Source organism: Homo sapiens, chromosome 4 (genome assembly GCF_000001405.40).
Source record: "Homo sapiens chromosome 4, GRCh38.p14 Primary Assembly".
NCBI lineage: Eukaryota > Metazoa > Chordata > Mammalia > Primates > Hominidae > Homo > Homo sapiens.
In genome coordinates, this window is record NC_000004.12 from 74,829,603 (window position 1) to 74,840,621 (window position 11,019).

The 11,019-nt window shown below is 38.3% G+C and overlaps 1 long non-coding RNA gene across 2 annotated transcripts; it reads right to left on the minus strand.

The window, feature by feature from the left end:
* Positions 1 to 1,517: 1,517 nt before the first annotated feature.
* LOC105377278 (uncharacterized) lies at positions 1,518 to 6,050 on the minus strand. 2 transcript variants are annotated; one of them, XR_938880.2, is made up of 3 exons: positions 5,994 to 6,050; positions 4,148 to 4,301; positions 1,518 to 1,844 (listed from the first exon to the last, which is right to left on the minus strand). It is a non-coding gene; the product is annotated as an uncharacterized LOC105377278 (long non-coding RNA). The 2 variants fall into 2 exon arrangements; XR_938881.2 differs by lacking the exon at positions 5,994 to 6,050 and adding an exon at positions 5,141 to 5,256.
* Positions 6,051 to 11,019: the final 4,969 nt, after the last annotated feature.

The following is an 11,019-nucleotide window of genomic DNA, read 5'->3' on the forward strand; positions in this document are numbered from 1 at the left end:
CCAACGGAACAGAACAGAGGCCTCAGAAATAACGCCACACATCTACAACCATCTGATCTTTTGACAAACCTGACAAAAACCAGCAATTGGGAAAGGATTCCTTATTTAATAAACGATGTTGGGAAAACTGGCTAGCCATATGCAGAAAACTGAAACTGTACCCCTTCCTTACACCTTATACAAAAATTAACTCAAGGTGGATTGAAGACTTAAATGTAAGACCTAAAACCATAAAAACCCTAGAAGAAAACCTAGGCAATACCATTCAGGACATAGGCATGGGCAAAGACTTCATGACTAAAACACCAAAAGCAACAGCAACAAAAGCTAAAATTGACAAATGGGATCTAATTAAACTAAAGAGCTTCTGCACAGCAAAAGAAACTATCATCAGAGTGAACAGGCAACTTACAGAATGGGAGAAAATTTTTGCAGTATATTCATCTGACAAATGGCTAATAACCAGAATCTACAAAGAACTTAAACAAATTTACAAGAAAAAACAAACAACCCCATCAAAAAGTGGGCAAAAGATATGAAGAGACACTTCTTAAAAGAAGACATTTATGCAGCCAGCAAACATGAAAAAAGCTCATCATCACTGGTCATTAGAGAAATGCAAATCAAAACCACAAGGAGATACCCTCCACCCCAGTTACAATGGTGATCGTTAAAAACTCAGGAAACAACAGATGCTGAAGAGGATGTGAAGAAATAGTAACGCTTTAACATTGTTGGTGGGAGTGTAAATTAGTTCAACCATTGTGGAAGATAGTGTGGTGATTCCTCAAGGATCTAGAACCAGAAATACCATTTGACCCAGCAATCCCATTACTGGGTATATACCAAAAGATTATAAATCATTCTACTATAAAAACACATGCACATGTATGTTTATTGCAGTGCTCTTCACAATATCAAAGACTTGGAACCAACTCAAATGCCCATCAATGATAGACTGGATAAAGAAAGTGTGGCACATACACACCATGGAATACTATACAGCTATAAAATAGGATAAGTTCATGTCCTTTGCAGGAACATGGATGAAGCTAGAAACCATCGCTCTCAGCAAACTAACACAGGAACAGAAAACCAAACACCACATGTTCTCACTCATAAGTGGGAGTCGAACAGTGAAAACACATGGACACAGGGAGGGGAACATCACACACTGGGGCCTGTCGGGGGTGGGGGGCCAGGGGAGGGATAGCATTAGGAGAAATACCTAATGTAGATGACAGGTTGATGCCTGCAGCAAACCACCATGTCATGTGTATACCTATGTAACAAACCTGCACATTCTGCACATGTATCCCAGAATTTAAAGTATAATTTTTAAAAAAAAGAAAAAAAAAGAATTTCAGTAAAGTTTTACAGTTTCCTTCATATAGGTCTCACACATCTTTGTTTTATTCCTATAACAAATGGTTTTAAAAAAAAAAAAGTATGGCTTAAAAGAAAAGAAAGAAAGTCAACTCTCAAGGACACATGAGTCAAGCTCAAATCTGTCTCCCTCTGCTGGCTTTCAGGCAGTATTTTTATTAGAAAAGGTTAGGAGGTGGATTCTGAGATTATTGGGTAATTAGTGGAAACAAAGGAGAAGTTTGGAAAGTACTTGAGCGTGCACAGTTATTTCTTCATGTTACTTCATGGGTTTCATGTGCAAATGTGAGGGGAGTTAGTATAAAACATGCAGTGGAAATTCAGGCTGTGACATCAACAAGCTCCTTCTGCCCAAACTCCTGGTGGCCATCTTGGTTCAATTTCAGCAGGTTCTTTTATTTCACAAGTGGAGGGAGTTGCAGCATTTCAGCAAGTTGTTTCTTTTCTTATTTGCCATCCTGCAAACTCAAGAATTTCTGTTAGTCATTGGTTTCTTTAATTATTTGAGACATGATTTCAAAAGTCTAAGAAATAAAGCGTAATTGTATTTTCAGTGGAAACAATGTGCCTCCCTAATAGTTCTGGCAAAAGGCCAAGGTTTGATGCTTACTGACCTAACTTGGGTCATATGATTACCCTTGAACCTACCTCTGTGGCTGGGGGATGGAACACTGATTTATTGGTCTTGTATCATCTCACAAGCAAAGAGTCAAGGAAAAGGTGTGTGTGCTCCCTCCCTATCTCCTTCCCTCTTCCTCTCCCACTTTCATCCTCCCTCCACCCCTGCAACACACACACCCCATGGACTTGATGGGTCGATAGTTACAATGAAAAACATTCAGCATAGCTATTGCTTTTTTTTCTTCAAATTTACACTTAATAGAAGCAGAGGAAAAGAACATTTTCTGAAATGAGATGTCTTTGAAGTTTTCTAAAAATTATGTTTCTGGTAACACTTCGAAATGGGACATGTAATCATAGTAAATAGCTAAAGAAAGTCTTGTTTCCTATTTTTATATAGTTCAAAAACATGTAAAACTAAAAGTATATGATTTTAGTATACATATGCAGTAAAACCTATGAAGAAAAACAAGGGGATTTTTAAAAATGCAAAATTCTGGGCAGTGATTACTTTTGGGGAGAGAACAAAGGAGGGATTGGATCAGAAAGAGCACATAGGAAGTGTCAAAAATGATGTTGATATTCCATTTTTCAAACTGGGTCTATGGGTATTCATTTTATTCTTATTCTTTGTGTTTTATATATGTTATCATACAAATATCATTGTATGTGTATTTAATTTTAATTTTTAAAATTAAAGAAAAAGATAATTTAACATGTTTAATTTGAGAATTTTGTAACTAGGAGTTACAGAATTTAAAAGGAGTGTGGTTTGGCTAGAATATCACATAATTTGCAAGAGCTATTTGAGAGGCCCAATGCTCTGCCCTTTCTTCACCTTTTCCCTTCTATTTAGCTGCTAGAACCTGCCCAATTCCGTGAATAAAGCTGGAACTGAGTTAGACAGTCATGCCACTACCTTCTATCCAGTGGTCTCCTCACCACCCATGGAAATGGAACTGCTTATGAAATATTCATGAAAGGCCCACACTAAATACAGCACAATTTCAGAATCTATGGTGCTGTGCAGTTGCTTTGGATTTAGAAAGAAGAAACAAGAAAGTTTGAAGGGCACTCTGTTCTGCAGGCTTTTTCCCAACACCCCTGTGAACGCTGGGTGCCATGTGTAAAACAGATACTCTAAAATCTCAGGTGCTTCATCAGAGATGAGACCATGTGTTACAGACGAAATGTTTGTAACACCCAAAATTCACACGTATGAAGCCGTGTCCCCCAGTGTGATGATAGTTGGTGATAGGGCCTTTGCGATAGAATTAGGGTCAGATGAGGCCGTGACGGTGGGTCCTCCATGATGGCATTAGTGCCCTCATAAGAAGAATCACCAGTGAGCTTGCTTGTGCATTCTCTCTCTCTCTCTCTCTCCATGCACCAAGAAAAGGCCATATGAGCACATAGCAAGAAGGTGACTCTCTATAGGTTAAGAAGAGCACCTTCACCAGAAGCTGAATTCTGCTGGAGCTTGATCTTAGACTTTCCTGCCTCCACAACTGTAAGAAAATAAATTTCTGTCGTTAAAGCCACCCAACCTATGGTGTTTTGTTATGGCAGCTTGAGCTAACTAATATAATGACTAATTATATACTAACATGCTAAAATATTAATATAATGACAAACTTTGTGTTGGTATACTAATGATAATGAAGTCGTTATCATTAGTTACACAGAAAAAGGATGTGTTTCCACAGATTTTATAGTTCTGAACATACACAAATCCCTCCTCAATAAAAATAAATAAATAAATAATAAAAACTGAGTTTTTTGGCTGGGCACGGTGGCTCACATCTGTAATCCCAGCATGTTGGGAGGCCGAGGTGGGTAGAGTGCCTGAGGTCAGGAGTTCAAGACCAGCCTGCCCAACATGGTCAAATTCCGTCTTTACTAAAAACACAAAAATTAGGGAGGCATGGTGGCCCATGCCTATAGTCCCAGCTATTCTGGAGACTGAGGCAGGAGAATCTCTTGAACCCTGGAGGTTGCAGTGAGCCGAGATTGTGCCACCGCCCTCTACCCTGGGCGACAGAGCAAGACTCCATTTCAAAAAAAAAAAAAAAAAAGCTGGTTTTTAAATGACAAATTTCGGCTATCATTTTTCTTTCATTCTACATATGGCCAACCTTACTTGGAATAAAATGAGGCAGTTTTGTGCACAGCCTGATTTCAGGGAGTTCAGCCTCCTTGAAAGAACTCATGGAGGACTTTGAAGCTGTGCAAATCCTGTTTCTGCCACTTTCCAGCTGTGTTGATTTATCTTCTCTGAGCCTGAATTTTCTCATCTGTAGAAATGAAATAACAATTCTCACCTTGGAGGCTAAGGTAAGGCACCCTTACATAGGTAACCTATATAAAGCATTGAGAGCAGTGCCAGACATATAATCAGTATGTAATACATAGCAGCTCTTATCTCTGCCAGGCTTTTCTAGCCAGCAGTATACAGTCAATCTCAAATCAATAGTGTCTAGCAGTCTCCAGCACAAAGGAGGTGCTCAAAAAATGTTTGTGGGATGAATAAGTGAATAAATGAACAAATGAATGGATACAGGAGACATAGTAATTTCTTAGATAAATTATACTGTTTTCAATGTCCTCTAGGCAAAGACCACAAAGAATACACCTGTAGCTAAACAAATTGGATTTCTTATCTCCATGGCCGGGAGGAATGTATACCATGGGGAACAGTGGGGCATCTCAGTAAGAGTGTTAGAAAGAACCTATTACAGGATTCAGGCTGTGGGTTAGGAGACTTTGGAGAAAGGCTTAAGAAAGTGGGGATTTGATCTGGATTGGGTGTTTTCAGAAAGTGGGTATAAATCTATGATTGGCTTTCTTAATAAACCTTTATAGAGAGGGAAGACTAGAGTGAGGTTAATATTGTAATTAGTGAAAAAGTAACCATTGCTTGTATTAGGCAGGATACAGGGACATGAAATCCAGTAGACATACTGATTAGTCACTGGAAAGGAATATCAGTTTGGGTTCTGCAGGTAGCAGACACCGAGACAGATTTAGAAATGCAAGAGGTTCATTGGGAAGCTGGTGGAGGGAAAGAATACCCTTGAAACACAGCGCAAAGAAGCAGGAATGGCATAAAAAGCCTTTCAGCTCTGATGCTTACCAGTCCTCTGTGATAAGAAAGGGAGGAGAAAGCAGCATTGGACTGGGGCAGCCTTAGGCTGTGATGCAGATCTGACAAGGCTCTGCCAACCCAATGAGTTACTCAGAACCACTGGGCAGAAGCACCCTGGCCCTATGGATTCCATTCTGCCAGTGCTTTCAGGATTGCCCAGAAAAAGCTTGGCCTCAGCTGAAAAGCTTTGGTGGATCCTCAGGGTGCTGCAACTGGAGGCTATCAGATAACTGCCCTCTCTGCAGTTGGAAGCAAAATATTTCATGAAAGGAGACCCAAGTGGGACAGCCCTTAGCTGTCTCACAAGGTGTATTCGGCAAGGAGTAGGAGCTCTTCCTTAGGATCTGCTGCATTCAAGGGGAAGTATCTCCAAGTAATTCCCTTTAGTCCTGGATTCATGTGCATCCAGCAGCATTCAGATGGCTCTCTCTGTTTAGTAGGTGCCCCAATACTAGAAAAGAAGTAATCAAGAAAGCCAATTCAAAGAATAACATCACTAGGGAAAGAGATGGCTCATTGAAATGAACAAATAGACCATCCCAGCAGTATGGCTACTGGCTCACTTCCTGATTATACAGCTGACGAAACCCATCCACAGTGAGGTTAACTCACTTGCCTAAAATCACAAAATCATGGAACTAGGGAAGAACTGAGGTTCATTCTACCTATTCACTCTTCTTAAGAAGCATCGGCACACAATAGATCCATCACCCCTGCATAACCAAATGAAAATTGTTTCTAAGCATGAAAAGCTAAGTACTTATTTTGGATGCTGTTAATCATATCACAGCTTAACAACCCATGAAATCTCTACAGAAACAGTTTGTTAAGTACTACTCACACATATCACACCTTGCATTATACCAGACATTTTTAATGACTTTGGATTTTCAGTCCATTAATGTTGCTGCAATTGAAACAGATTCACAGAGGTTAAGATAAAATTCTGTGCTCCTAAATGGAATATTGCCATCTTACACATTTTAGTGTTTGCTTCTACTTTGAGATTATGACCACAAGTCATGTATACTTTACAGAAAAATTCCATAAAATATACTGTGAAGAGGTAGGAAAATATTTAACTTTTAAATCAGTTATTACTTTAAATCGGTCTCCTTAATAATTTTTTTTTTTGAGATGGAGTCTGGCTCTGTTGCCTAGGCTGGAGTGCAGTGGCATGATCTTGGCTCACTGTAACCTCCACCTCCCGGGTTCAAGCAATTCTCCTGCCTCAGCCTTCCGAGTAGCTGGGACTACAGGCATGTGCCACCACGCCCAGCTAATTTTTGTATTTTTAGTAGAGATGGGGTTTTACCATGTTGGCCAGGATGGTCTCCATCTCTTGACCTTGTGATCCGCCCACCCCTTGGCCTCCCAAAGTGCTGGGATTACAGGCATGTGCCACCGCGCCTGGACAAGAATTTTTAAAAAGTTCACTGTGAGTCTATATTTACCAAACTCAGTAATCAGACGAGGGAGAGACAATCTCCATTTAAACGAGATAGTATCTCTACTGTATCTTGCCCACTCCCAACCTCAAATTAAAATGAAATCATTTTGCCATATTGGCAAAATCCATAGGCAGATATCTAAATGTTGTCTAAAATAAAGTACTTAGAAATCCCATTTGGCAAGAGATACCTCAAGTTTTAATACGCTATAGTTAGAATCATTCAGCCTCTTCTGCTGTACAAATAACACTCCTAAGCTCATTCCTACATTTCTGGCCATTTCCCAGATCACCTACCTTACTCTTCTATTCTGTAGACCTATCTATTCCAGGTCTACTGAAGAAGCGGGCACAGTTTGACATTTTCTCTCCTTCCCTCTTATTCCATTGCAACCTGTATCTTTTTGCTGTCTCATTTATCAGAATGTTAATTCATTATTATTTGGGCTCTTATTTGTAAAATGTCTGTCTCTCCACAAGACCATTAAGTCTCTGAGGGCAGGGGCTGTATCTTCCTTGTTTTCTGTTGTATTTCAGAGCTTGGTGTTCATAGGGCTTTGATAAATACAGTTTTCTTCCTTCACACTCAGGTACACACAACTGGATCAATCATTTCTCTCTGCTCATGATGCACAATCAATCCTGGCCCATGCAGGCCTTCCTTTAGTGTATCCTCCTCATGTTTCCCACTCAATTAGTTTATTCCTACTCACATTTCCCCCATACCTACCTGCCTTCCTCTAACTACTGGCAAGACATCAACTTTGCTGTATTTTGTATGTAATCTGCTACTTGACATCATTGGAAATTATCAGTATTTTCTAATTTTCTAGCTAGGCAATGGTTACTTAGACTGAAATGTGTACTTGAAGATTATGTAATGGTATTTTATATATGTAATTATTTTTAACATAAATTTTATTCACGTGCGACATACATACTGAAAAGCATGCAAATCATAGATGTACAGTTCAGTGAAGTCTCCAAAATGAGCACAGGCATATCGGCATCCATGGAAGGAGCACCACCAGATCCTCACAGAGGCCCTCTGTACATCCTTCCAGACACCTCCTTCTCAAGCAAGAGTAACCACTATCCTGATCTTTAACACCAATGATTAAGTTTACCTGGTTTTGGACCCTTTTTCACCGAATCATGCAGTGTATACTCTCTTGGGTCTGGCTTCTTTCCCTCACATGATATTTGTGAGATTCCTCCTTACTATTGTCTGTACTTGTAGTTTATGTATTCTTATAGCTTTATCACATTCTGTTATATAAATATATATCATTATTTATTTATATACTGTAATTGGAAATATATATTGTCTTCAGCTGTTATTTATAGTGTCCATATAAACATTCTTGAACAAAGCTTTTGGTGAATCTATGTACACATTTTTGCTATTTACTTACCTACGAGGAGAACTATAGATCTGTCTGATGTGAAGGTTTCTTTTTGGAATATACACCCAGATGTGGGATTGCTTGCTTAGAGAGTATTTTCATAGAGTTGTACTACATTGGTCTCCAGAGTGAATGTACCAGTTGTCACTCCCAGCACTATGCATGAGGGCTGCATGTCCTACATACCTTTGCTAGCACTTAGTATTAGCTAACTTTCTAATTCTTGACAAAATGGTGTGTGGCAAATGATACCTCTTTCTCATTTAATTAGTATTTACTTGACTAATAGTTAGGTGAAGCTTTTTGGGGAGGAGGGAGCACTTAAGTATTTACCAATCGTTTGGTTTTCTACTTCATGAATTGCCTCTTCATGTCTTCTGCCATTTTTCTTTTGAATGTCCTTCCCTCCTGTTGATTTGCATAAGGGTATTATATATACTAAATATTAATCACTTGTTAGTATTGGAAATATTCCCTTCCAAGTATAAACTGTCTATGGGGGTCCTTTATTACACACACACACACAAATATTTAATTTGGCTTTATTTAGTAAAACTCTTTTTTTTCTCTTTTTTCTTTCATCTTTAGTGTTTGAACTTGTGAGGTCTTATTTAAGAATGCTTAACTGGTCATTAGATCAACAAAAGCTTTGCAGTTTTATCTTGTATAATTAAATCTTAAATCCATTTTTTAGTGTTGTGTAAGGAATCCAAATGTATTTCTCTCCATATAGTGAACTAATTTTTCCTGATATGTGATGCTCTCTCTGACATGTAATAAATATCCAAATAAATATAAATCTGTTCCTGGACTCTCTATTCCTGCACTAGTGCCACTTTAATTATAAAATATAACTAGAGGTGCGAATTTCTACTCTTTGATTTTTCTTAGCTATTTATAGACCTTTGCTCACCCATATAAATTTAAAAAATTGGTCAGCTTTCTTCCAAATAGATCCTACTAGTACTGTTATTGGAATTATACTGAATTTATAGATTAATTTTAGTCAAATTGACATATTTACAATATAAATCATTCAATCCATGAATATGGTGTTTCTCTACATTATATTTTCTAAGGTCTATCTAAAGACATTTTATGATAGTATGTTAAATTGTTATAGTACCTACTGGTATACACAGGAGTAAATAAAATGTTTTATGGGAAAGATACAAACATAAATTTATTATACTGTCACCCTTTTTCTTTGTAAACTGTACACAGGGATTGTGCTTGTTTATGGCTTAGAGAGCATAAAGATAGTGGGAAAAAAAAACAGGGACTAGAAAGTTATGAAGTCAGGCAGACAAAGAGTTGAATTCCAGACTCTTTACTCACAGGCTATGAAATGTTGAGCAAATTACTTAATCTTTTGTGCCTGAATTTCCTAATCTCCCAAATAGAAGCAATATCCATGCATAAGTGAGATGACGTATAAAATGCCTGGCGCATGGTAGGTGTACAGTAAATGCAGCTTTCCTTCCCTTTTCTCCAGTTTTCTCCTAGGAATCAGTCCTATGCAAATGCTTTAACTCTGCCATTCCCCAGCACCTTTGATAAAGGTAGACTCATTTTCAACACCCCCACTCCCACCTCCACTGTCAGCTCTCTTGCTCCCAGGGTGACAAAACAAAATTCATTTTCATCCCAGAAGAAGCTGCAGATAGATATCTCCCCTTCCTTACGTACCCATATCATTCAACTACTAAATCATCAGGCCCTGAACGCAGATGACTATGACTTTAGCCAGGTATGTATCACTGAAGTACAGATACAAAAGTGCCCTTCTTCTCCATTCTAGACATAAATCTCTGTGTATGCCCTATTTTTAGTCATACATGTAATTGCATTTGATATTTCACGTACATTTGAGTAGCCTTCTAGCTATCTTTTACCACTTTGCCCTATTTAATTCCTGCGTGCATTTTTCCAGTTGCAATTATATATTCATGTTAGTTTACACAATGTTTTCTCTCTCTTCTTCTATACCATAAGCTCATGAAAAGAGGAACTCTAATTAGTTTCATTCATCAACGTATGCCCAGGACCTGCACCCTGCACAGAGTGTTCAATAAATACATGTTGAATGAATGAATTAGTTTCTCGATTAATTGACTGTCTAGGTCCCAGGGGCAATTTATTATCAACCAGATAAAGAATTTTCTTTTAAGACTTTAAACACTGATATACATTGTTTCTGCATATCCACATTACTTAATTAGACCCTTTGATTTTTCAAGGTACTTAGAGATTTTCAATGATGAAACTACACAAGAAAACACTAGATATCACTTCAATAGAAATTAATTCTATTTCCATACCATTTTTTTCATAAAGGAGATATAACCATAAAGTATAATTCTATACACAGAGTAGGTATTCAATAATTTTTGTAAAACACACCAATTAAATTAGGTTGAGTTCATGTCCTTTGCAGGGACATGGATGAAGCTAGAAACCATCACTCTCAGCAAACTAACACAGGAACAGAAAACCAAACACTGCATGTTCTCACTCGTAAGTGGGAGTTGAACAATGAGAACACATGGACACAGGGAGGGGAACATCACACACCAGAGCATGTCAGGGGGTTGGGGGCTAGGGGAGGGATAGCATTAGGAGAAATACCTAATGTAGATGACAGGTTGATGGGTGCAGCAAACCACCATGGCACGTGTATACCTATGTAACAAACCTGCACATTCTGCCCATGTATCCCAGAACTTAAAGTATAATAAAAAAAAATTTAGACACTAAAGCTGAGATTGTTGCAAGGCAGTAGCAGCAGAGTATAAAGAGAATAAATTTTTTTTATTAAGAGAGGTTTTTTTAATTATTATTATACTTTAAGTTCTAGGGTACATGTGCACAACGTGCAGGTTTGTTACATATGTATACATGTGCCACGTTGGTGTGCTGCACCCATTAACTTGTCATTTACATTAGGTATATCTCCTAATGCTATCCCTCCCCCCTCCCCCCACCCCACAACAGGCCTCGATGTGTGATGT